At 40.0% G+C, this 27,528-nt stretch overlaps 1 protein-coding gene, 1 long non-coding RNA gene and 1 pseudogene across 10 annotated transcripts in view; 1 reads left to right on the top strand and 2 right to left on the bottom strand.

Moving 5' to 3' along the window:
* Nucleotides 1-1,864: 1,864 nt before the first annotated feature.
* On the top strand, nucleotides 1,865-27,528 carry LOC124904037 (uncharacterized). Its single transcript, XR_007065858.1, has 3 exons — nucleotides 1,865-2,827; nucleotides 24,459-24,649; nucleotides 27,497-27,528. It is a non-coding gene; the product is annotated as an uncharacterized LOC124904037 (long non-coding RNA).
* Nucleotides 8,293-8,399, bottom strand: RNU6-1158P (RNA, U6 small nuclear 1158, pseudogene; annotated as a pseudogene).
* DGKE (diacylglycerol kinase epsilon) overlaps nucleotides 10,002-27,528 on the bottom strand; it is a 35,417-nt gene continuing 17,890 nt past the window's right edge. For 5 of the 9 annotated variants that reach the window (XM_047436959.1, XM_011525394.4, XM_017025243.3 and 2 more), the window contains 5 exons: nucleotides 22,944-23,057; nucleotides 20,904-20,975; nucleotides 17,651-17,778; nucleotides 17,318-17,429; nucleotides 10,002-16,957 (listed from right to left, as the gene is read on the bottom strand). In XM_047436959.1, coding sequence (XP_047292915.1) covers nucleotides 16,778-16,957; nucleotides 17,318-17,429; nucleotides 17,651-17,778; nucleotides 20,904-20,975; nucleotides 22,944-23,057 — 606 coding nt within the window. In that variant the 3' untranslated portion in view covers nucleotides 10,002-16,777. Of the gene's footprint in view, nucleotides 16,958-17,073; nucleotides 17,223-17,317; nucleotides 17,430-17,650; nucleotides 17,779-20,903; nucleotides 20,976-22,903; nucleotides 23,058-27,528 lie in introns of those variants that run through there. The other 4 variants (XM_011525395.3, XM_017025244.3, XM_011525396.3 and 1 more) reach the window with 4 other exon arrangements.

The following is a 27,528-nucleotide window of genomic DNA, read 5'->3' as shown; positions in this document are numbered from 1 at the left end:
AAAATACAAAAATCAGCCGGTGTGGTGATGTGCATCTGTAGTCCCATGCCACCACCGTGGTGGCAGAGTTGCTTGAGCCTGGGAGGTCGAGTCTGCAGTGAGCTGAAATCGCACCACTGCACTCCAGCCTGGGCGACAGAGGGAGACCTTGTTTCAGCAACAAGAACAGAAATTTAGTCTGGCACCAGGAGGTTGAGTCTGCAGTGAGCTGCATTCCAGCCTCACTCTCTTTTTTCTTTTTTCCTTTTTTTTGAGACTGAGTCTCACTCTGTCACCCAGGCTGGAGTGCAGTGGCGCCATCTCCGCTCACTGCAAGCTCCGCCTCCCGGGTTCATGCCATTCTCCTGCCTCAGCCTCCCCAGTAGCTGGGACTACAGGCGCCCACCACCACGCCCGGCTAATTTTTTGTATTTTTAGTAGAGACGGGGTTTCACTGTGTTAGCCAGGATGGTCTCGATCTCCTGACCTCGTGATCCACCCGCCTTGCCCTCCCAAAGTGCTGGGATTACAGGCATGAGCCACCGCGCCTGGCCACCAGCCTCACTCTCACTCTCCATATATATAAAATAACTAAAAAAAAAACCAGATTCTCAAGCTCCACTCCCAGAGTTTCTGATTCAACAGGTTTAAGGTGGAGCTCGAAAATTCACAAATTCACATTTCTAGCAAGTTCTCAGGTATTGTTGAGGCTGCTGGTCTGGGAACTGCACTTTGAGAATCACTGGCCTAGAAAGACACCTTAAAAGACATCAACTGGTGCAGGGTGTGGTGGCTCATGCCTGTAATCCCAGCATTTTGGGAGGCCGAGGAGGGCAGATCACTTGAGGTCAGGAGTTCAAGACCACCCTGGCCAACATGGTGAAACCTGGTCTCTACTAAAAATACAAAACGTAGCCGGGAGTGGTGGCATGCACCTGTAATCCAAGCTACTCGGGAGGCTGAGGCAGGAGAATCGCTTCAACCCAGGAGGCGGAGGTTGCAGTGAGCCGAGATCGCCCCACCGCACTCCAGCCTGGGTGACAGAGCGAGACTCCATCTCAAAAAAAAAAAAAAAAAAAAAAGACATCCACTGGTACATAAAGGTGAGCCTTTGTGAATCAAATTTGGTTCCCCTTGAGGTCTCCCCCAAAGGGAGAAAGGGAAACAGTCCTCTCTGTGGCATTGCACGTGATGGAACTAGTATTCCTTGTGTATTATTCTCATTCCCTTTGCTTGCATTAAACTTCATTTCCCTTTCCTTTACTGATTATTTGTCATTTCATCCTCTGTCCAGTCTCCCCTAAAGGTGAGTGTTCTCCAAGGTCCAGGATCTCTGCTATTTTCACCTTAGCATTTTGCCCTTCAAGAATCCACCCACTTTTTTTTTTCTTCTTCTTCTCCTTCTCCTTCTTCTTCTTCTTCTTCTTCTTCTTCTTCTTCTTCTTCTTCTTCTTCTTCTTCTTGTTCTTCTTCTTCTTCTTCTTCTTCCTCTTCTTTCTTCTTCTTCTTCCTCTTCCTCTTCCTCTTCCTCTTCTTTCTTCTTCATCATCATCATGTAATAGCTGACATTTATTTCAACTTCCTATGTTCCTGGTAATGTACAGGACTTTACATAAGTATCAGTTAGGATGCTGCTTTTGGTAGCAATGAGCAGAAAACTCAACTGAAAAAAATAAGGGCTGGGTGTGGTGGAGCGTTCCTGTAGCCCCAGTTACTTGGGAGGCTGAGGTGGGAGGATCACTTGAGCCGAGGACTTCAAGGCTGAAGTGAGCTATGATCGCTGCTCCCCAACCTGGGTGATGGAGTAAAACCCTGTCTCAAAATAAATAAATAAATAAATGAATAAAGAAAAATTTCATCTCACATATCCAGTAGTCCCAGCTAGGGCAGCTGTGGGGTTGGTTGACTCAACATTGTCTCAACATTGTCATCAAGGGCTCCTTCCTTCTTTCTACACCACCTTTCTTGGCCTGTTGGCTTTGTCCTCAGCACTGAGTCCCTCATGGTCAGAAGATGGCTGCAATGTTGCAGGCATTGCACCCAGTTATGACATTGTCTCTGTCTTTTTAAGAGCCAGGAAGCCTTTCCTGGAGGCACCCTGCAGATCTCCCCCTCACATCTCATTGGCTAGAGTTAACTTGCACGTCCACCTCCAACTGCAAAGAGAATGGGATTCGCATGTTGGTTACTCCTGAGTTGGGGTGGGTCACCTTCTCTGAGTACTTGGCTGTCATTTGGACCGACGTGGCAGTCTGCTGCAGGGAAAGAGAAGGGAAGTGGGTGTTGGGTGATCAATCAACAGCTGTGCTCTGGTTATCCACTGCTGTGTAACAGCCAAGACAAAGTTGATGAAAACAAAAGCCCCGGTCAATTCCATGTGAATGTCTGAATGTAACTTTACAGTCTATGTATTTAAAACCATGTTTATTTCTTGTTCCTCAAAACCAGCTCTCCCCTGTGTTGGGGAACAGCTCCACCACCGCATCATGGTGACCTTGCATGTATCCACTTAGGCAGAGTCTTGGCAGAACGCCTCATGGTCTTCCTGGATGTGGGAGGCTGGGAAGCCTGTGTACATAGCCATTGTGAGGAGATCTTCTGTTCACCTCCTTATCTCTCCTGGGAAGCTGTCATGAGACAGTTTCTCATATCTTGGGGGTTCTGGTGACGTGGAGGCTTTCTGTCCCGGCTTCCTCAGGATAGAGCTTCTAGGATTAGCACTTCGGCAACGGGGTATCCCACAACTCACACTGCAGTCATGTGGGTCTTTGATTTGGTGTCATACACTTCGTGGTATGTAGGACAAAGATCACAGGAAGCTGGCACATTTATTCTTTTTGCTGTCTACGTAAGTAATAAACTCTCTAAATCTTAAAGTAGCTCCTTGCAACTTGACTGGTTGACTCAGAACTTGGCTTTGGCCTTGACGCCCTGCACCTCCACACTTCTATCATCAATAGAGTGTACACAATAAATAGTTATTGAACACATTCGTTCTTCCAAGGCTGAAAATCTTGAGAGATCCCTTACCCCTTTCCTCTAGGTATCCTACATCTTAGCCTGTCAGTTCTTCCTCCATGAATGTTCTCATTTCTGCTCTACTTCTATCGAATAACTTTCCTCTTTCTAATCCTTCCCCCTTACAACTCATCTTCCACACTGCTCCCAGGATAATCTTAAAATGCCATTTTTGTACATGGCACCCTAAAGTTCATAGTTCACAGATTTATGGCATGCTTTAGGTTCTTTTTTTTTTTTTTTTTTTTTTTTTTGAGATGGAGTTTTGCTCTTGTCACCCAGGCTGGAATGCAATGGTGCGATCTCAGTTCACTGCAACGTCCGCCTCCCGGGTTCAAGGGATTCTCCTGCCTCAGCCTCCTGAGTAGCTGGGACTGCAGGTGTCCGCCACCATACCCGGCTAATTTTTGTGTTTTTAATAGAGACAGGGTTTTGTCATGTTGGCCAGGCTAGTCTTAAACTCCTGACCTCAGGTGATCAGCCCACTTTAGCCTCCCAAAGTGCTGGGATTACAGGCGTGAGCAACCGCACCTGGCCATGCATGAGTCTTTTCTTCTTGCCAGCTTGCCAACATGTTGTTCCCAGAACATGTCAGAATGGCATCTCTTTAGAGGTGCAGCCTAAATGCCACTTTTTTTCTCCAAGAAACGTTTCTCTACCACTAGCTTTTCTGTATATGTGCTGCCAAAGCGAGCATTCTCCACCACTAGCTTTTCTGAACCTGTGTGTTACTGACTTCTCTGTGGGCTTGTGGATGAATCAGAATAGAAAATGGCCAGAGACAGAGGAAGATAACCAGACAGAACAAGCTCATTGCCAGTTTATACTAAATATGTCTGAGATACCTCAGCTAGGACTGGTATCTTTGGTTCAGAGGTTCTTAATTGGAGTCTCGGAGGCCCTCCAAGTTGGCTGCAAAATTCTGCTGTATGCGCCAAACTGCTAGGGTCAGAGGGAGGGAGGAAGTGTCTGTAACTATAGCCAACTTCTTATAGAGGTTGGCTTATGATACAATAAAAGCTAGGAACCCCTGATCTAGGAAAAAGATGGCATAACTTAGTGGGAGAAAAAATAAAGGAACAACAAACTCCACTAAATTTTGGAGTCACAAGACTGGATCAGTATCCTAGCTCTGTGCAATCCTGGCATGTCATCAGCCTTTCTGAATCGCAATGTACTCATTTAGAAAAATTATATCTACTCTGCCTCCTCAATTGGGTTTCTATGGGGAATACTTTATATAAAATTATTTTATAAATGATCATATGCCCTGCTAATATGTATGTTACTTGACTCCAGACCATACGGCTCTGTTTATGTGTTCCCATTTACATAATGTCTCACTTATTTAGAAATAATAGGTTCTTACTTGTCTTTTCTCCCCCTCCCTCCAGTTGTCTGAGGGTTTCATTGGCCCAGAGTCCATTGCCATTACCTAAATCATGGTCAAGATTTAGTATCAGTTTGAAGGTCATGGCTCCTTTCACCAGCCTGATAATGGGAGGCCCACCCTGACCACCTTATTTAATCCTGATTACCTCCCAAAGGCCGTATCTCTAATCAACTTGTGAATTTGGGGATTAAGTTTCAAATACATGAAATTTAAGGGAATACATGCAAACTACAGCATTAACCAATGCATTGCTAGATACATAGTTATCTAGATGAATGGGAAGAATCACAACTAATATTAGAACCTGCTCCTACACATGCTTGAGTGAGTAATTCAGGAAACTGCGTTCATGAAAGGGTTTAGTATCCTTCCCTTGGTAGGTAGCTCAGATCGACAAACAGCACTGGGAAGAAGCAATAGAAGCAAAGGAATGGCCTACAACTACTACTGATTTTATCACTGGTAATTTTTCTCTATGCCTAGAGAAAAATCCGTCAGTGGGGCTGGGTGCTCTGGCTCATGTCTGTAATCCCAACACTTTGGGAGGCCAAGGCAGGCAGATTGCTTGAGCCCAGGAGTTCAAGACCAGCCTGGGCAAAATGGTGAAACCCTGTCTCTACTAAGCAAAAATACAAAAATTAGCCAGGCATGGTGATGCACGCCTGTAGTCCCAGCTACTTGGGAGGCTGCAGTGGGAGGATCACTTAAGCCCTGGAGGGAGAGCCTACAGTGAGCCATGTTTGTTCCACTTAACTCCAGCCTGGGCAACAGATTGAGACTCTGTCTCAAAAAAAAAAAAAAAAAAAAAAGAGAGAGAGAGAAAAGAAAAACTGGGACTAATCTCAGCAGTGGTCCAGACTCCCTCTGTAATCAAAGTCTTTGGTTTGATATAGATTATGGAGACTGAACTACTCTATATAATGATGCAGATATAATACCAGAACATGACCATGATACCCTTAACTATATCATAGAGAGCTCACTGAAATTAGGCATTGGTTCACTGGAAACTCTAGAAGCAAATGGAATGACTCTATAGTACCACTATAGAAAATAACTAGTTTTGTTTATTGGATAAATACTCGGGGCATATTTGAAGAGGAAACAGTCATCCTTAGTTGTTGATGACATACATGAGTTACTTTATCAAGTACAGTGAACTGTTTTTGGTTCCAACTCTCCAATTTTAAAGCATAACCATTCAACGTGGCAATGTGCAAATGCAGATATGACAAAGAATAGCTATGGCATTCATGTCACCCCCAACTGGCGGATAATGGGATTCACTTTACACCTTTCTCTCAATAATACTGGATTGTTCATCTGTTTTTTTTTTTGAGATGGAGTTTTGCTCTTGTTGCCCAGGCTGGAGTGCAATGGCATGATCTTGGCTCACTGAAACCTCCTCCTCCCGAGTTCAAGCAATTCTACTGCCTCAGCCTCCCAAGTAGCTGGGACAACAGGCACCCGCCACCACACCCAGCTAATTTTTTTGTATTTTTAGTAGAGACGGGGTTTCACCATGTTGGCCAGGCTGGTCTTGAACTCCTGACCTCAGGTGATCCACTCGCCTCGGCCTCCCAAAGTGCTGTGATTACAGGCATGAGCAACCGCGCCTGGCCACGCATCAGTCTTTTCTTCTTGCCAGCTTGTCCAGCATGTTGTTCCCAGAACATGTCGAATGGCACCTCCCTAGAGGCGCAACCCTAGTGCCACTGTTTTTTCTCCCGGAAACATTTCTCCACCACTGGCTTTTCTGAACCTGTGTGTTACTGACTTCTCTGTGGGCTTGTGGATGAATCAGAATAGAAAATGGCCACAGACAGAAGATAACCAGACAGAACAAGCTCATTGCCAGTTTATACTAAATATGTCTGAGATACCTCAGCTAGGACTGGTATCTTTGGTTCAGAGGTTCTTAATTGGAGTCTCGGAGGCCCTCCAAGTTGGCTGCAAAATTCTGCTGTATGCGCCAAACTGCTAGGGTCAGAGGGAGGGAGGAAGTGTCTGTAGCTATAGCCAACTTCTTATAGAGGCTGGCTTATGATATAATAAAGGCTAGGAACCCCTGACCTAGGAAAAAGGTGGCATAACTTAGTGGGGGAAAAAAATGAACAACAAACTCCACTAAATTTTGGAGTCACAAGACTGGATCAGTATCCCAGCTCCGTGCAACCCTGGCATGTCATCAGCCTTTCTGAATCGCAATGTACTCATTTAGAAAAATTATATCTACTCTGCCTCCTCCATTGGGTTTCTATGGGGAATACTTTATATAAAATTGTTTTATAAATGATCACATGCCCTGCTAATATGTATGTTACTTGACTCCAGACCATACGGCTCTGTTTATATGTTCCCATTTACATAATGTCTCACTTATTTAGAAATAATAGGTTCTTATTTGTCTGATCTCCCCCTCCGTCCAGTTGTCTGAGGGCTTTATTGGTCCAGAGTCCATTGCCATTACCTAAATCATGGTCAAGATTTAGTATCAGTTTGAAGGTCATGGCTCCTTTCACCAGCCTGATAATGGGAGGCCCACCCTGACCACCTTATTTAATCCTGATTATCTCCCAAAGGCCCTAATCAACTTGTGGATCGTTCATCTTTTTTTTTTTTTTTTTTTGTGAGATGGAGTTTTGCTCTTGTTGCCCAGCTTGGAGTGCAATGGCATGATCTCGGCTCACTGAAACCTCTGCCTCCCAAATTCAAGCGATTTCTCCTGCTTCAGCCTCCCAAGTAGCTGGGATTACAGGCAACTGCCACCATGCCCAGCTAATTTTTTTGTATTTTTAGTAGAGATGGGGTTTCACCATGTTGGCCAGGCTGGTCTCACACTCACAACCTCAGGTGATCCACTCGCCTTGGCCTCCCAAAGTGCTGGGATTACAGGCATGAGCCACCACGCCCAGCCGGATTGTTCATCTTGTATGACAAATATATAAAGGTTTTTCCACCTAAATGATCAGAATGTTTTGGCTATGTCCTACCTAAAATGACCAGATGACTCTAAATGTTAGTCAAATTCTGAACCTCAGGTCACTTGTACATAAAGTGAGCCCTCAGAAATGAGCCTCCTGAGTGATCTCCAGACTCAATCATACAAGGGTTACAGATTTCACTCTTTTGTAAGAGCTCTTTTTCCTCAGCTGGGAGCCTCTGAATTGAAAAAATTGCTTGTTAGTATTTCAGCAACTCTTGAAAAAAGTTTTAGTGATACTTACGAATTTTCTTCAAGCAGTACAATATGAGATGAATAATTTCACCTCAGCAGTACCCCAAAGTAGGAGTTACTGACACTTCAGCTGCTCAGCAGGGAGAAGCTTACGGTGTTTTTATGTTAACAAAACATTAAGTGTTTGTTATATTTGATATTGTTGCCCAAAATGTAAAAGTTCCTAAAGAACACAAGGTTTTCATCTCATTAGCACTGCCTCCCTTGATTTATTCAGTTGGTTAAATCTTGGCTCCTGGGAATCTTTACTCAGGGTTTTCAATCCTTTGCTATTATTCTTCTTGTAGTTATTGTGTTTACCCATACACAGTGGGTACCCATACACAATGGCTTACCCAACACAGTGCATTGTATTTTCTCAATAATTTTTAAAATTTATTTTTGAGCGACAGTGTCGTGCTCTTTGACCCAGGCAGGAGTACAGTGGTGCAATGCTACCTCACTGTAGCCTGGAACTCCTGGACAAAAGTGATCCTCCCACCTCCGTCTCCTGAGTAGCTGGGACTACAGGTGTGCATCACCACACTCAGCTAATTTTTTTTTTTCCAATTTAGAAAGTTTATTTTGCCAAGATTAAGGACATGCATGGGCACGGGACACAGCCTCAGGAGGTCCCTGATGACATGTACTCAAGGTGATCAGGATTCAGCTTGCTTTTATATGTAAAAATATGGAACATTTCATGAATTTGCATGTCATCCTTGTTCAGGGGCCATGCTAACCTTCTCTGTATTGTTCCAATTTTAGTATATGTGCTGCTGTAGTGAGCACTACCCAGCTAATTTGTATTTTTTTGAGATGAGGTCTCAGTCTGTCACCCAGGATGGAGTGCTGTGGCGCAATCTCGGCTCACTGCAACCTCTGCCTCTCAGGCTCAAGTGACCCTCCTCCATCAGCCTCCCGAGCAGCTGGGACCAGAGGTGTGTGCCACCACGCCCGGCTAATTTTTTGTATTTTTGGTAGAGATGGGGTTTCAATATGTTGCTTAGGTTGGTCTCGAACTCCTGAGCTCTAGCAATCCACCTGCCTTGGCCTCCCACAATTCTGGGATTACAGGTGTAAGCCTCCATACCCAGCCCTGCCCAGCTAATTAAAAAAAAATTTTTTTTTTTTTGTAGACATGGGGTCTTGTTACATTGTCTAGCTGGTCTTGAACTCCTGCTCAAGCAATTCCCCTACTCTGGCCTCCAAAGTTCTGAGATTACAGGTGTTATTCACAGAGGCTGGTCCTTTCAAGGATGTTTAAGTGCTTTCCAGTAGTCACTCATATGTCAAAAGATTGCCGTAAGGATCAGACAACTGGAGGAAACCAGCATGGACTATGTCATTCCCGAGGGTGACTCTGAGCCCTAGGGCAGCTATTGATAAACATCTGACTCTTCTTCCTAGACTATGTCAATAGTGGTAACTGAGAGTAATGCTATGCCATTTGGTCACACTCTCAGCTTGCGGACGGGGTGACTAAAAGTGGGGAACTGTCAAAGCAAAATTAAAATGGAAACTAGGCTTGAAACATTCCTGAGCAAACAAACCAACTAGGCCTTAAAAATAGCCCTAACCTACTTAAACTGTAAACATAAATGAAACTTAACTTGGGTCATTTTTGGTAAATGCTTATGTTAGATACAAAACTTAACCTCAGCCAATCATAAGCAGCCAACTAACATGATCATGAGACTGGGGACTTTCCAAGAAAGTAAGCCAAAAAAGGCAACCAATCAAATCATTTCTTAATTTTGCTTCTGTATGCACTCTATGAATACTTGCCTCTGATGTTGTGTCATTGAAACACTAAATCCTCATTGGGTTTGGGGTTTCCCAAGTCACGAATTGCTTCTTAAGTACATTCTAAAATTTTATTGTGCCTGCTTTTTTTTCTTTTACAATAGTCCATGTGTAATACTTTTAGCTCATCATCTCCAAACTCCTTCCATGAGTAACTTTTTGGTATATGATGTTTCCTTGTACAGGGAATTCCTCAGACAGCCGCATAAGCCCTAGTCCTAGTGCTCAGAACAATGACACGTCTGCCAATATTTAACACTTTTAAAATACTGTTGGTGGTGGTTGTGTTGATGATGAAAGGCAGTGGGGAGGATGGCCTGGGTTCAATCTCTAGCTCCGGGCTATCAATGTATATAACATGGAGCCAATAATGTCTACCTCACAGAAATACAGATTATAAAATAAAAAGTAAAAGCATGTGACACCTAACTGTACAATAAATGTGTGAAGCTGTTTAAGTCCAAACATGGATCATTACATGTAAGATGGCCTATGTGTGAACATCAGCAGCTATCACAGCCACGTTCACATATATGTAAATTATCAAGGGGCATTACGCTTGGCACTGTTTAAAAGAAAGCAGGCAAGTGATCAAGTGAATTTTTATTACAAAAATTTTATAAAAATGGATTTCCAGGTAAAGATGGCAGAATAAAGCAGGACTACAGAATATTCTTCCTCTAATGCCTAATAAAATGAATAAAAGATGTTACATGCCACAGTACATTTTTCAGATCGTTACTGATAAATCAGAAAGCTTTATGAAAATCCAGATGGAAGGAAACACACAGTTCTGCCATGCATATTAAGATGCATTCACTCTCCTGCCCTAATAATTATCATATAACCTTATGGTAGACGATAGTCAATTAGTTGCCAACCAATACTTAAAAATTAGATTTCATATACTCTAAACTTCTGTCTTTTCTAGAAAAATAAATTGTTTACACTAGGCCTGCTTCCCAGGAATCATGTGCTCCAGTTTACCGAAGTCTCTACAACTCTTACCTTCGTTGCTTGCCCAGCTCCTGTAAGCACTTGCAACCCGTAGGTGGGCATTAATTCCCATTCTTACAGAGAAAGAAAATTTGAGGCTCAGGAAGAACAAGTGTTAAGTTACAGTAGTAGAGGCTGGGTTTCCATTCAGGTATTTCAAATAAGTGATACATTTTTCCATACTCTACCAACTGAAAATAAGGTGAATTCACCTTTGATCCCACTTACTGCTCTACTCTGCCAGGAGCCAGTTTATATGCGTGAGAATGAATGTTTCTCCTAACACACGTGTATGATTCTGTGCTCTTAGGCTACAAAAGCCATGCAATATGAATTTTTTATTCTTTCTGTCTAAAAGTATGTGATCAGAACTTGCCACATATATGTTTGCCCTGCTGTAGACCAAGAACCACTTTTTGGGACACTAAGTCAAAGCTGCTTATTGTATCTCATGGTTGTGTCAAAAAACTACACAGTATCATACTTACGTGCTGCACTTTTAATTTTATTAAAAAAGAAGCAAGTATCTTCAACATACCAAATGCTTTCACATTTCTGCCTGCAGGCACTGACCACAAAAATACAGACCCAACACAACAAAAGCAATTAACACAAGATAATTAAGTGGTAGTTACAAGTGGTGGGCAGGGGAAAGTGCAAGAGGCCAGCTGGCTGAGCAAGTGGAGTCATCACATGTGTCCTCAACATTGTGGGTTTAGGGATCCAGTGCAATCAGTTCACTTCTAAGAGGACTGGGGTTGAGGACTCGAGCTAGGCTGCTCTAAACTTGTACAAACAGAATTACAAATCAGAGTGCCAATTTATCTGTAGGGTTTGTTTAAGCAGTTCAGATCTGAAAGACTGCTGGCAGAGCCCTGAACTGGACTGAGAACAAACGTTTTTATGAGCCATCATCATCCACCTCCACAAAGTGCCTGCCTTACTCTAGGGTTTTTCTCAGCCAAATCTACTCATCTGATCAGGATGCCCTCTTGCCTGGACAATGTCAGAGGAACAAGGAAAACAACTGAGCTTTCCAGCTCTTCCTTTTCAACATTCCATGTTAGTCACCAAAAAGTAACACATAATGGAAATTCTCTAGATTACAGCTTATTTCCTGTTTAGTGCATTCTGTGTTGATGTCGTCCTTTAACAGTGAGGTAGCTCAGGGCATCCTTAGAGAGACTGAAGTGTTCTTGGTCTGATATCTGATACCAGCAACACATTTCTTTCTTTTTTTTTTTTTTTGAGATGGAGTCTCACTCTTTGGCCCAGGCCCCACTGCAGTGGCACTATCTCGGCTCGCTGCAAGCTCCGCCTCCCTGCAAGCTCTGCCTCCCGGGTTCACGCCATTCTCCTGCCTCAGCCTCCCGAGTAGCTGGGACTACAGGTGCCCGCCACCATGCCCGGCTAAATTTTTGGATTTTTAGTAGAGGCGGGGTGTCACCGTGTTAGCCAGGATAGTCTCGATCTCCTGACCTCGTGATCCACCTGCCTCAGCCTCCCAAAGTGCTGGGATTACAGGCGTGAGCCACCACGCCCGGCCTTTTTTTTTTTGAGATGGAGTCTTGCTCTGTTGCCCAGGCTGGAGTGCAGTCATGTGATCTCCGCTCACTGCAAGCTCTGCCGCCTGGGTTCGAGCAATTCTCGTGCCTCAGCCTCCTGATTAGCTGGGATTAAAGGCATGTGCCAATGTACCTGGCTAATTTTTTTTGTATTTTTAGTAGAGACGGCGTTTCACCATGTTGACCAGGCTTGTCTCAAACTCCTGACCTCAGGTGATACGCCTCCCTTAGCCCCCCAAGTGCTGGGATTACAGGTGTGAGCCACCGTGCCCAGCCTCAGCAGCACATTTCTATTTATAGTTTCTAGGTGATTTATTTTCTGCAGACTTTCTTGCATATGGTTAAGCCCAATCATTTCATTTAAGTTTTATAAACGTCTGTATTAGAGGATGGCATTTTAAAATTCTTTCCCCAGAACCCTGGAATGTACCTTTCTGGGCTATGCAAGCCTCATGCACTGACTACACAGGGCCACATGGGTAAATATATATGTATTGATGTGTATTTACATATCAAAAATTAAATAGACTATATGCTTAAATTAGAAACACAAAGAACAAAGGCTAAGTTCACTGCTTTACTATTCAATAAAATAGCTTTAAAAACTGTGAAACAGCCAAGTGGCCACATTCTAAACAGCGACGGAGACCTCCAAAATATTCTGTCCACCAAAAAAACACGAAGTTTCTGAATATGTAAAAATTAGTAGAAAATCAATTAGGTGACAAAGTCATTATAGTAGTGGCTTTCAAACCCTTTATAAAAAATAGCAGAATCATTTTAAATGTGGAATTATTTTATCTACTGAGATCTGAAGCAGCACTCAGTATACACAAGTGTGGCTGCATTGACTGCAGTGAGAAGGCAGGCGCCTCCATGGCTCACTGCCCCTTGGAGGCGCACTGCACTAACTCCTGAAGCAACTCCTTGTCCCCCAACACTGCATGGGTCACAGTCCAAAAACTGATTCCACATATGAATCATACCAATTTTTATGTAACAGAGTTCAGACAAATATATCAATTTGGGTATGATACAAATAAGTTTTTCATAGAGTTCTTTTAGAAAAGTGATTTTGAGGGAAGAGGACAGCGGAGTAGAAGAAAAACAATTTTAAGAACATACAATTAATTCAATTTTTCGGCATGGTATCCCACCTAGCAAAAGCCCTAGGTGAATACATGAGGTTCAGACCAGAAGCTTTCAAATTTCAGTATGCTTAAGAATCGCCTGAGGCGCTTGTTAATAAAAACAGAGATTTCTATGTTGCATCTCCAGAGACAGGGAATCATTAAGTTAAGGGTTGGGCTCAGGAATCCATACTTTCAACAGCCTGCCCAGGCATTCTGATGCTGCAGATAGCCTGCAGCGCGTACTCTGAAGAACAAGAGAAAGGCTTCAAGGGAAAAATTGAAAAAGACAGGGGGACACTGTTTAAAAGCAAAACCCAAACCACCTTTTCTGTCTTGTTGCTGAGAATGAATTCAGATTGGGATAAACAACCTTTTCTTTCTTTTTAAATATCTAGATATTTTAAATATATCTACTTATATTCCACTGTCCTCAACTGGGTAGAAATATTAAAAAAATTATCAATATAAAATGCTGGTTCTTGCTTCAATATTATCATTTTGAAGGAAAACCACACAAAACCATTACCCATTCTAATGACTTTTTTGGCCAAATTATGTATTTGGGTCCACATTAATCATTAAATTAGTATAACCTTTAAAGTTTTCAAGTTAGTGCAAATTTAAAATTCAATAAATATATTAAATACAATTTTACTTTATATTACAAATGTAAATTATTTTTCTTTTGACATGCTGGTAGTATTCATTTTTACAACGCAAACTGACTTTACAATTTCTGAGTCACAGTATATTTTATAACTCTAAGCAAATGTATTTCACAAAGCAAACACTATATGTTTTTGACATACTCTAAAAAAATAAAAATAAATAATTTTGATTATAAAATTTGTATAAACTTAGCTACATTAGGGGTTCACAGCTAATTGTTGCAGAAAACCTAAAACACACCTAAATCATGTAACTTTACTAGCAGACAACTTGTATTTTAAAACACAAGTCAGTTTGATTTCTATTAAACATGACGAAACACTGAAAATTATCATCATCTGCCTAAGGGATCTTTAAGAGCTGCCAGGTATTCAGTATTTAAGCCACTACGTTTATAGGAATTAGGAATGTATTGGGATAGTAAAAAGATTAGAGAAATCTGGAAACAGACATGGAGATATGATTTACTTCATGTATTTCTTCCTGAGAATGTAGAAGTTATTTTTTTAAATATCAAGACAATTTAAAATGGAACAGGAAAATCTTATGGCAATTTTTTTTGGTAAAGTGTAGAATCCCTGGTAATATAAACAATCACTACCCTAATATGTAACTTGCAAACATGAAGTCTTATAAATTGTACTTAAACAAGGCACATGCCTATACACTTATTTGAAATGCTGGGTAAATGTGCCCAAAAAGTAAGTGAATTTTGCAAAAACAAGATAATGATACATTTTATGAGATGGTATTCTGAAATAGCTTCCCTAAATGAAGTCTAAATAAGTGAATAAGCCAGCAGAAAAACTTCATGACAGACCAGTAGTGATGCAAAAACCTTACTAGATTACAATAACCAAAAAATCAACTTATTTAGATAAATGAGGGCATTTTACATAAGCCTGTTCTAAATACAGTGTAATATTATGGTTGGTATTAAAATTATAATTTTTAATTGTAGTTTTCACAATTAAAAAGCTGTATTAGTTATTGTGATTATTTTCGTTCCAACATCCTAAATTGATTTGCTTCTACTACAATTAGCACTACGAATTATATAACAGGTAAACTATAACCTACAGCAAAGTGGATTTAACAGTGTATTTATAAAATGTGATGTCTTTAACAATTTTGATCATGAATGAAAGGATAAACTTCATAATACTCAGAACATGATTGGCCCATTAAAAAAAAAAAAAACAAAACTCTGCCATCCTCACTGCCATGGTTACTTACCATGAAAGGTATATAAAGAAGCTGAAAACAGATCTGCTCACAAAGTTTCTCAAGACTAGAATTTAAGATCACCTGAGGAGATCTGCAAGAGGTTAATTTAGCAAAATAGAGTATTTCATAAAATGTACTGACTACTGTATACATTACTAAGTTGCTCTTTGAAAACATGGTCTGGGCCTGAGGTGAGGCAAACTTAGGTTTATGGCAATTCATGGATGACAGATTCATAATAGACCCTCAAAGATAGCTAATGGTATTTTGGGGGATACATTCTGATCTTTCAGAGATTAATGTCATGAAAGACCACAAAGCCTGGGCCATGTGTCAGAAAAACACCAGGCTGGATGCCCTCTGGGTCAGCCGACCTGTGGGTCACGACCCTTGGGCTGGTCAACAGCAGCGAACAAGCACCCTCTAATGGGAACCATGAAACTAGCCCTTCAGTAAGTTTGTGGCAATTGAGGGGCAAATAAAACAATGAAACAAAGCTTTCAGTTATCCAAAAGTAGTTCCCTAGTGCTTTTCATGCCCTCCTTCATTTTTCAATACAATGAGGAATATTTGTGAAGAATAAGAATATCTAGATTTCTGTCAGGAGAATTAAATTAGAATTTTAATTAATAGACTAAATTTCTATCTGATTGTGACTAGCAGAATTTATGTGATCAATTTAACTTATTAAATAAAGCTACAGAACGTAAACACTAAACACAGGTACCATACCACAAGGTAAATAATAAATAATTTAAAAATATATCTCTCTCATTTTAAAATAAATATGATATAAACATTTTAGCAAAGATTTCTGTCCACTTACCTCCCTAAGGGGAAATTCTGTTAAAAGACTACTGTATTTCAAAATACTACAAGACCACCAAATTTTTAAAACTTATCAGTCAGCCTTGAGCTTTTTCTAAGCAATTAATCTCACCGTTGTCTCCTTTAAGCACGTTTTTTGAAGTGTTGACACTGTCTTTTAATAAAAAGAGCGGCTGATAAACAGTTCAGCTCAGAACCTATAACTTACAATCCCAAGTGCTCTGAATCTTATTTCTTACCAATTCACTTATCTGTTTCTCTTTTGGCTACACTGGTGTTATAAAAAAGATCCTGAATTGCAGCTCAAATGGTTACCTACAGAATTAAACAACATTTACGTGTCTGAATAAGTTCCTAAAATAAAAATTGTAATACAAATTTTAAGTATGATCTTTTTTTACTATTCTCCTTTTGGGGGTTCCTAGAAATCAATACATACACTTGGTTTGGGTTGTAGAAAATCTTAAGGGGCATGCTGCAGGAGGATGCTCACAATTAACCATGCTGGTTTGACAGTAATCATTTCCTTTCAAAAAAGCAGGTTAATTTGATCTTTCCACCCACACCTTGTTGGAGATATAATGTGTCCATCCATTGTGTGTCCATCATATGCATGGTTCAAAAATAAGACATGAGACAGCACATACTTCAGAGTGAGTCCCACTCTCAAAACAGTCATAACAAATTTTCACTCTCATGTAAGTTTTTGTGACTTTTTGTAAGTTAATACTATTCATTTGAAGTATTTTGCTGAAAAAAGAACAAACATTTGTAAATAACTGAAGGCTGGCTGGTTTGGGGATGCTATTTACAAAAATGTATACCCATTATACTACTAGTGAAATTAAGACTGAATAGCTGATAGAGAATTTCTATTAATACTTTTGGATGAACATGTATCTACTTGCGTGAGGATTCTATGCAAAGTTTTCACTCCCTCATCCATCTATTCAGTCGCCTTTATATCTTCTTGATCCGAAGTACTAGAGATGTCATCATCTGTTTGTTCTCCAGAGAAATATAACATCATTGCATGTGTCTTGTGAGTTATGGTGACAGTGCAGGGCCCTTGGGCCCAAGGCTCCCCATCCACCTGCATTGGCATCATGGAGCACTTCAAAATCAGCTGATATTAGGGAACAAATAATGTTTAAAAGTCAGTCCCCCCAAATTTAGAAAGGTCTTCCTTAATAATACCATCCACAATCCCTTAACCCTTATGCATTTCATTTTTAGAAAATATTAATCTGAATATGTTTTTATTCATTGATTAAGGAATTCTTTTTTCAAGTGAACGTTTTATCTCATGGATCTTGAGCCATGTTTCTGTTTCTTCCTCATCCCACTCTAGCCGCTAGTGTACAGTGACCAGCTGCATGAGCCATAAACCACTGTTTAAAGAAAAGTATAGCATGTATATTTTACATATCAACAGCTTAGAATTGGATTGGGACAAATTAGCCTGTTACAGCTATATTTCACCTACCCTCACTGTATGTGCCTGTCCTATTCGAAAAGGATTAGCCAGTTTTACTTGAATCTGAGCACAGTGGAAAGACCCATATACTCCAACGACTTCCAGCAGACCATCGTCATGCCTAAAATTGGAAAAAGAAAATATGGATTATATGATGCAATAAAAAATCAGTTATGCTAGAGCAATTACTTTTTAACACAGTTGGACCATCAACTTAAAAAATATTTATAACTAATGAGATACACAAAAAAGAAAATTTGAGGAAAAATGTTAAAGTCTATAAACAAGAGATTGCTTTAAATAAAATAGTGACATAAAAAAACAGACCACAAATGTACATACCTGGCTAGAGGGTAAGTCTCGTCCCCCATCCCTTCCCATAGTCTGCAGCCACCGCCCCAGTATCCGATGTTCAGAACTATAATACCTTCCAAGCTGGGCAGTGCTACTCGCTCACCATCCAGTTCTAGCTTTAAAGAAATACAAATAGATAGTGACTACAGGATACACAATTTCCACACACATCCATTTAGAATTCACATCTATTTTCATAAATGTGCTTATATATGAGAGATGCACATGTAGAAGATGCTCCCTACCTCTCACTCAGGGCCTCTCATCTGCCCTTTTCTATCTCTTCAGTAGAACTGCTTCTATCAACATCAACAATAATGTTCTTTTTGTTGAGCCTCGTGATTTTTTCAGGACTTACCTAACTTGCTGTTTCAGTAGCACCTGACACTTGCTGACCCCCTTCCTCTTTTCCTAAAATCTTCTTTCCCTTTGCTTCCTGGGAACCACAGACTCTACTTCCCTGGATGTTCCTTCTCAGGAAAGTAAACTGGGCCAGATCCATCTATCCACTGCCCATAAAACATGTCCATGGACTGGCACCAAAAACTCTTATGTAAAAAATTGATCAAGCAACTTTTCTGCAATTTGCTCCCTGTTCCCCAATGTACTTACCAGGAAAGAGTAACATCTTCCCCTCCTCCTTCTCTTAGCTAACTCTTACTTACTCTTTCCTGGTTAAGTAGGTTAACTCACCCCCAACCCAGGTGTTTAAGCCAGAAACCTGGCAGTTATCTTTGATTTCTTTGACTTTTTACCCTCCACATCCCCTTAATCACTAAAAACTGTTGATGCTATTTCTATGTCTTTCTCTCTCTTCACCATTTCTTCCCTAAAATGTTTCTATCTGGCCTATCTGCCTCTAGCTTTACTTTCTTATGCATCCCTCACAGAGCGGTTGGATCGACACTTAAAAAATGCAAATATGTCATCCTCTAATTACCACCCTTCAGTGGCTTCACTTTAACCCTTCAATGCCCATGATGAAATACAAGATCCAATACCAGGCAAATATGACACTCTGTGATTTGACTTCTGTCCATCTCTCTAGCCTCAGCGCTTGTCTTTCCTTCCTGAAAGCTATGCTCCAGCCTGAACTCACTCAAATATGCCATGTATGCCTCTGGGTCTTTTGCAGATGCTGTTTTTAGCCTACAGCAATCTTCCCCTCCTCCTTCTCTTAGCTAACTCTTACTTATTTTCAGATTCCAGCTTGTCACTTCTTCCAGAAAGACTTGCTTATACTGCCACTTTCCCTAGTCTCTGTAGCTCCTAGGTTACGTATTGCAGTTATTTATTCCTGTAAGACCACATGCTTTTCTTATATAACTTCTCATACTGCATTGCAATGTGATTTAAATATCTTTTTGGTTTCTTCTTGGAGACAGGGTCTCAATCTGTCACCCAGACTGGTGTGCAGTGGTACAATCATGGCTTACTGTAGCCTCTGCCTGCTGGGTTCAAGTGATCTGCCTCCCTCAGCCTCCTGAGCAGCTAGGACCACAGGTACATGCCACTATGCTCAGCTATTTTTATTTTTTATAAAAGTGGAGTCTCACTATGTTGCCCAGGCTAGTCTCCTTGCCTCAAGCAATCCTCCCACCTTGGCCTCCCAAAGTGCTGGGATTACAGGCATGAGCCACTGTGCCCAGACTGGCTTAAATATCTTTCTTCACCCTAGACTGTAAATGTAGAGCAAGGGATTTATCACTGTCTACCTCCAGTATCGAGGACAATGACTATTTTGTAGGTATATAAATAAAATTTATTTTATTTCTGTATAATTAAAAATAATTTGTATTTTTATATAAATAAAATGTCAGACAATAAAATAAAAGTCTTTATTTTATATGCTTGTATGCTTTACTCTACCATCAAAGCCTAGGAAAAATAAAATATGATAAAGTAACATAACACTCTTTTTAACAGAAAATCTTGCTTACTTCTACGCCATGGCAGCCCAGAGACTTTGAGCTAAACATTACGCCTAACGGCAACATTTTTCCTTGACTAATGTATAATCAGTCTCCTTACTCCCTGCTCATTGTCTCTTTTCCCAAACTGTTTATGATCTCTTTTTATTTATTTTATCAGTTCTAGGTTTCTCTGAATTAATGTCTCTGTTGTTGCTATTAACCATTACAGATTCTTTTTGGAATCAAGCAAGGAATACATATAAGACTGCCATATCTGGCTGGGCGCGGTGGCTTACGCCTGTAATCCCAGCACTTTGGGAGGCTGAGTCGGGCAGATCACGAGGTCAGGAGATCGAGACCATCCTGGCTAACACGTGAAACCCCGTCTCTACTAAAAATACAAAAAATTAGCCGGGCGTAGTGGTGGGCGCCTGTAATCCCAGCTGCTTAGGAGGATGAGGCAGGAGAATGGTGTGAACCAGGGAGACAGAGCTTGCAGTGAGCGGAGATCGCACCACTGCACTCCAGCCTGGATGACAGAGTGAGACTCCATCTCAAAAAAAAAAAGACTGCCATATCATGATGTCAGAGATGCTGTTGCAATAAGCAATCATTAATATTCTATTTTTACTATTTATACATTTTTATTATTTTTTATTAGTTTTTTTTGAGACGGAGTCTTGCTCTGTCCCCCAGGCTGGAATGCAGCGTCGCGATCTTGGCTCACTGCAAGCTCCGCCTCCCGGGTCCACGCCATTCTCCTGCCTCAGCCTTCCAAGTAGCTGGGACTACAGGCGCCCGCCACCACGCCTGGCTAATTTTTTTTTTTTTGTATTTATACATTTTTATTTTGGTATGTAAGAGAGATACCCGACAAAAATAATCTGAATTAAACTTTCCATTTAAACTTCCTCTGTGTCTTTATGTTGAGTCAGGCACTGTATTAGATAACTGTAAATTATTTATCATGTATGAATGGAGGCCACTCACCCTAATAGTTAAACAGACTGGATTTACATAAATCTGGGTTCACATCTTGATTACATGTGCATTTAGGCATTAAATGAGAGAATTTGGGCAAATTACTTCATTTAAAATAGTTTTCTTTTCTGCATAATGTGAATATATAATACATACCTTATAGAATTGTGGAGAGAATTTAGAGGGACAATGTGTATAAAGCATGTAGCAAAGTGCCTGGCACACAAATAAATACTCTATGTATGCTGGCAAAATATATTAACAAAGTTTAGCATTTCTGTTTAAAAAGTCTTCATAATCCAGAGACCACCTAAAACTTTAAAAAATAAAAAGTGTTAATAGCTTACCTCAACTTTTTTATTCAAATCTTTACATTCTTGCACTAAACAATCTTTGGTTCCATAGAATAAGTAAACCGCCTATGAAAAATGGACAGAAAATATAATATTAAAACAATCTAACCCTGTAAACAATAAGAAAAAATACGCTGTATCAAAGCTCCCTTTAAGAATGTTGAAGCACACATTCTCCTTATGGTAGACTAGATGCTGATGAAAAGAAGGGCAACCAAAGGGGATACTTTTGGTGTGCAACCTCTGGCCCTATCCAACACCTCCATTCTAGTAATTTTAAAGGGTAAAATTGGAATCCACTAGGAGCAGCAATGGAAATCTATAATCAAAACACAATGTAAAAATAAAAATGCCTTTAACATATTACAGATACTTTTGGCATCATTTGTATTTTACATTTTATTCTCTTAGGCTATTAATAGTTTAAAAGTTCTAGGTGAACTGTGGTACAGTAGATGAAATATTACTCATCCTTCTTTTTTGGAAGATGACAATACAGGCCATTCCATTTAAGTTTAATTATCCTCTTTCTCAGGGGAAATGTGGGATAGAAGTGATTTTTTCTTTTTCTTTTTTTTTTTTTTTTTTGAGATGGAGTCTCGCTCTGTCACCAGGCTGGAGTGCAGCTGCGCGATCTCGGCCCACTGCAACCTCCGCCTCCTGGGTTCAAGTGATTCTCCTGACTCAGTCTCTCAAGTAGCTGGGACTACAGGCGTGCACCACCACATCCGGCTAATTTTTGTATTTTTAGTAGAGATGGGGTTTCACCATGTTGGCCAGGATGGTCTCCATCTCCTGACCTCGTGATCTACCCACCTTGGCCTCTCAAAGTGCTGGGATTACAGGCGTGAGCCACCATGCGCGGCCTAGAAGTGATTTTTTTCTAAATGGTGTTTTCTCCCAATTTATCAAAAAAGTTGTATTTTATAAAGAAAAATATTCGAATTAGAAAATTCCACTTTTTCCTAGTACTTCAGATTACTTAGGAATAGTAATGCGTATTAATCTAACAAACATTTTCTAATCACTTATGAATACAAAAAGGTTGATGTAAGGACTGAGTTAATTATCAATTGTATAAATAGTAATACGTATTACCTTAGTAACTATATTAATAAAAGGGAACTATTTCAAAATTTGAAATATTTGTAAAACAGAACCAGGAATATAATTGCTAGGCATTTATTTTTGATATCCTGTTGGTCAATCACCGAACGTTATTAAAAAAATTCCTAAGCAAAATTCCATCAACGGAATCAACTATACTAGAAACCAGAGATGACCTTAGTTCAAAGCTGTGGCAAACAGGCTGCTCTTTTATCTCATCTGCCTTTTGGAGGTTTTTCAAACCAATGAAATCTACTTTTCCATTAATGACTTCACCAAAAATTTATTCTGCCTAAAATTTCCTTCCAATTTTAGCTGCCATTTAAGATAAACTATCATATATTCCATTTAGTTGCCATCTAAGCAAAATATCCTATAAAACATCCCAAATTTGAATTTAAAAAATTTGTTAGAGTTATATAATACTTTGATAAAGTTGTTTTGTTTTGTTTTTTGAGATGGAGTTTCATTCTGTTGCCCAAGTTGGAGTGCAGTGGTATGATCTCGGCTCACTGCAACTTTTGCCTCCTGGTTTCAAGAGATTCTCCTACCTCAGCCTCCCGAGTGGCTGGGATTACAGACACCTGCCACCATGCCCGGCTAAATTTGTATTTTTAGTAGAGACAGGGTTTCACCATGTTGGCCAGGCTGGTCTTGAACTCCTGACCTCAAGTGATCCACCTGCCTCCGCCTCCCAAAAGTGCTAGGATTACAGGCATGAGCCACTGTGCCTGGCCTGATAAAGCACATTTAAAGATCTAATTAAAAAAAAAAAAGATCTAATTTGACAACCCTACACAAAACAGAGCAGGTAAATATTTCTGTAAGTTAGTTAAATCTGAATCTAGGAGTGCTAAATATAATTGAACTATTGATTTTTACTGTACCTTCGGTGATAAGCAGGAAATGTTATTTTATCCAACACACCTTATTAAGAATTCTGCTAGAAAACAGAGATGGTGCCTTCTCACGATGAGCATGAAAATTGAGAGCCATGAGAGCATCAGGTCCAACAGAAAAATAGTTGTTCATTGTGAATTCCTGTGAGAAAGGGTAAGAATAAGCAACAGACTATGGTTCCACCTAAGCTTGAGTCATAATTAAATGTCAATCTTAGTCTTTGTGTTCTTTTGACAATGGAGATGCTTTCTGCATTTACTTTTCACATGGCTATTTTATACTGTCCAGTGAAGTTACCAGAAATAAAGCTTCCATTTAAGGCTGATAACTACAGATGTGAATCTCATCTTCCATTTCTGTTTTATATGCTACACCTCAGACCTTACCATCTAGAATGGCTCTACTTGATGCTTCCAGGCTTTTCATGCCTGTGTTCCCATTACATTTGCTCTTTACATTTATCACAGCCTCCAAGCTCTCAGCTTCTATTAGTCCCAACCCAGGCTACTGGTCTCACCTTAATTTATCTTACTTCCCAGTGCGGCCTGGATTCCAAGGTCAATCATTTCAATGACTGTACTCAACACCATCCTTCGTTCCAACACACCCTTGACCTCTTCTCAATTTAGCCTTTTTTTTTTTTTTTTGAGATGGAGTCTCGGACTGTCGCCCTGGCTGGAATGCAGTGGCGCGATCTCGGCTCTCTGCAACCTCTGCCTCCCGGGTTCAAGCAATTCTCCTGCCTCAGCCTCCTGAGTAGCTGGGATTACAGGCGCCCGCCACCATGCTCGGCTAATATTTTTGTATTTTTAGTAGAGATGGGGTTTCACCATGTTGGCCAGGCTGGTCTCGAGCTCCTGACCTCGTGATTCGCCTGCCTCTGCCTCCCAAAGTGCTGCGATTACAGGCGTGAGCCACCGCGCCCGGCCAGCCTTACTTGCTAATCTTCTCTAAACCAAACTGTTTTCTCTGCTCTATTTCCAGGTTGCTGGACACTGCTGGTAAGAATCTTATAATTATGATCCTGTTACAAAGTTATTTCTAAGGATGGCTGGACACAATCGCTAATAGGACACAGTAACCCTTTAGATGACTCCTTTCCTGTATTCCCTAGTGGTTTAATTCAAAATTTACCTCTCTTCAAGTCCCTGATAACCAGCTCTCCTGCCTTTGTTATGTTCAGATGATCTTGATTCTTGCCTCACTGAAAAAAGTGAGATCCTCAGGTATGAAAGGTATGAATTCTCATGCTCTCTTTCTGCCATCTAAAAACTCTGACTTTACTCAAGTGCACCTTTCTCCTCCAAATCAAAGACGCTCTTCCTCCTTTTGATGGTTAAGTCTAAATTTGGTCACTTGTTCTTTTCATGCTTTTCCCGTTCATCTCTTATGGAACTAAATGTCTGTCCCTTCACTGCCAAAATATAATTTTCAATCCTAGTTGTTCTTTAAAAAAAAAACCCATAAACACCTTATTTTAAATAAAATATGTCAATGTACATTAATTTGCCTTTATTTTTTAACTGAATTTTTTTTTTCTAGTTTCCTAGGTGTCCTTTATTCAGAAACTAAGAGTGGGGCAATATAAGCTTCATAAGGACAAGGCCTTCATCACTGAAACTCCAGCACCTACGACAGTGCCTGGCACCAGATGGGCACAAAACACTTGCTTGAATGTATAGAGAAATGAAGTTCCTTCTTTTATTTGATTGTTTGGATGTTCTTCTATAGAGGTAAGCAGACCCTACTTGATTGTAGTATATTTATTTTTAATGACATATCTTATTTCTTGACAGCAAATGGCTGAAGAACATGTCTTCTTATTTGAATCATCTAACTGGTGTGAAACTTTGTCCATCTTTCTTTGGAGGAATGATCTCTGATAAGATAAATATTTTTAAATACTCAGCTCTGCTTTATTACTGAATAGTAATACATCCTGGTATGAATGAGAAATACATCATTTTTTTTTGCATATCCATCACCTCAAATGTTTATCATTTATTTGTGGTGAGAACATCTAAAATCCTCTCTTTTAGGCTGAGCACAGTGGTTCACATTTGTAATCCCAGCACTTTGGGAGGCTGAGGGGCGTGGACTGCTTGAGCCCAGGAGTTTGAGACCAGCCCGGGCAACACAGAAAAATCTTGTCTCTATTGAAAATAATAAAAATAAAATTGGCTGGGTGTGGTGGCATGTGCCTGTAGTCCCAGTTACTAATGAGGCTAAGGTGTGAAGATCACTTGAGCCCTAGAGGTCTAGGCTGCAGTGAGCCGTGATCACGCCACTGCATGGTCAAATGAGACCCCGTCTCAAAAAAACACAAAAAAAACAAAAAACAAAAACAAAAAACCTCTCTTTTAGCAATTTGAAAATATGCATTATTATTAACTATAGTCACCAAGCTGTGCAATAGCAGAACTTATTCTTCCTAACTAAAACTTTGTACCTATTAACCAATGTCTCCCCTTTCTCCATCTACTCTACTACTCTCTACAGCCTCTGGTAACCATTATTCTACTCTCGACTTTGAGTTTGATTTTTTAGATTCCACATATAAGTGACATCATACAATATTTGTCTGTGACTGGTTTATTTATTTAACATAATGTCCTCTAGGTTCAGCTATGTTGCCGAGAATGACAGATTTTCCTGTTTTTTTTTTTTTTTAAAGTCTGAATAGTTTTCCATTGTGTATATATGGCATACTTAAAAAAACCATTCATTCACTGATGGGCACTTAGGTTATTTCTGCATCTTGGCTATTGTACATAATGCTGCAATGAACATGGCAGCATGGACATCTGTTTGATATACTGATTTCAATTCCTTTGGGTATATATCTATAAATGGGATTGCTGGAACATATGGTAATTCTAGTTTTAGTTTTTTGAGAAACCTCCATATTGTTTCCCAAAATGGTTGTACTAATTTGCAATGCCAATAGTGTATAAGGATTCTCTCTTTTCCACATCCTTGCCAACATTTGTTATTACTCACCAATGAAATAGGATAGAAAAGCCCCAAATAAATACACATATCTATGGCCAACTGATTTCTGACAAAGGTGCCAAGAACATACAATAGGGAAAGGAGAGTCTCATCAATAAATGGTACTGGGAAAGCTGGATATCCACATGCAGAACAATGAAAATCAACCCTTATTTCACCCATTATAAAGAATCAATTCAAAATGGATTAAAGACTTAAATGTACAACCTGAAACTATAAAAGTACTAAAGGAAAATGTAAGGAAAAAGCTTCATGACATTGGCCTGGGCAGTTATTTGTTTGATATTTGTTTGATATGATCTCAAAAGCATAGGCAATAAAAGTAAAAATAGACAAAAGGGATTGCATCACACTAAAAAGATTCTACACAGCAAAGGAAAACAATAGAGTGAAGAGGCAACCCACAGCTTGGGAGAAAATCTCTGTAAATTATACACTCGATAAGGAACTAATCTCCAAAATGTAGAAGGAACTGAAGTTACTCAATAACAACCAATAATCTTATTAAAAAATGGGCAAAGGACTTGAAGAGACATTTCTCAAAAGACATAAAAATGGCCAACAGACACAGGTTCAGCATCCCTAATATGAACATCTGAAATCTGAAATGTCCCCAAATCTCAAACTTTTTGAACACTGACATGACACTCAGAGGAAATGCTCATGGGAGCATTTTGGATTTCAGCTTTTCAGATTAGAAATGCTCAAGGGGTACATATTCTGCACATATTCCAAAATCCAAAAAAATCAGAAATCTGAAATACTTCTGGTCCCATTTTTTTGGATAAGGGATATTCAACCTGCATATGAAAAAATGCTCAACATTTCTAATCATCAGAGAATTGCAAATGAAAACCACAATGAGCTATATCACCTCACACCTATTAGATTGGCTACTATCAAAAAGAGAAATACATCTTTAATGTTGGCATTTCAGGCACTATGATAACTGACAAATACTTTTAAGCACAGGAACCATTTTAAAGGATCTCTCAATACTTTCTCTATTTTTTTACGTTCAATTTTTTTTTTAAAATAAATCAAAGCAATCCACTTTAATAAGCTATATAGTTCTACAAGGCTTCAAAGGAAACACTGCAGTTTTCTGTCTACTCCTCCTCATTTATAATTCCTGCTCCCAGAGCTCTTTCCGTAGTTTCTTCTGGTATTTATCTCTATATTTCTAAATAACATAATCAGATCATTACTTCTTGATTTTTTTTTTTTTGAGACAGAGTCTTGCTCTGTCGCCCAGGGTAGAGTACAGTGGCGTGATCTTGGCTCACTGCACCCTCTGCCTCTCGGGTTCAAGCAATTCTCCTGCCTCAGCCTCCCGAGTAGCTGGGATTACAGGCACCCACGACCACACCCGGCTAATTTTTGTATTTTTATTAGAGATGGGGTTTCACCATGTTGGCCAGACTGGTCTCGAACACCTGACCTCAGGTGATCCACCTGCCTCAGCCTCCCAGAGTGCTGGGATTACAGGCGTGAGCCACCGCACCCCGCCAATTTGTGATTTTTAAATTTTAAATGTTACTTACTGTATTCTTTTTCTCTTTTTTTAGAGATGGGGTCTTATCTGCACTCTGTCACCCAG

The sequence above is a fragment of the Homo sapiens genome, chromosome 17 (assembly GCF_000001405.40).
Source record: "Homo sapiens chromosome 17, GRCh38.p14 Primary Assembly".
Classification (NCBI taxonomy): domain Eukaryota; kingdom Metazoa; phylum Chordata; class Mammalia; order Primates; family Hominidae; genus Homo; species Homo sapiens.
The sequence above is the reverse complement of the archived record's forward strand: the minus strand, read 5'-3'. Positions and strand labels throughout refer to the sequence as shown.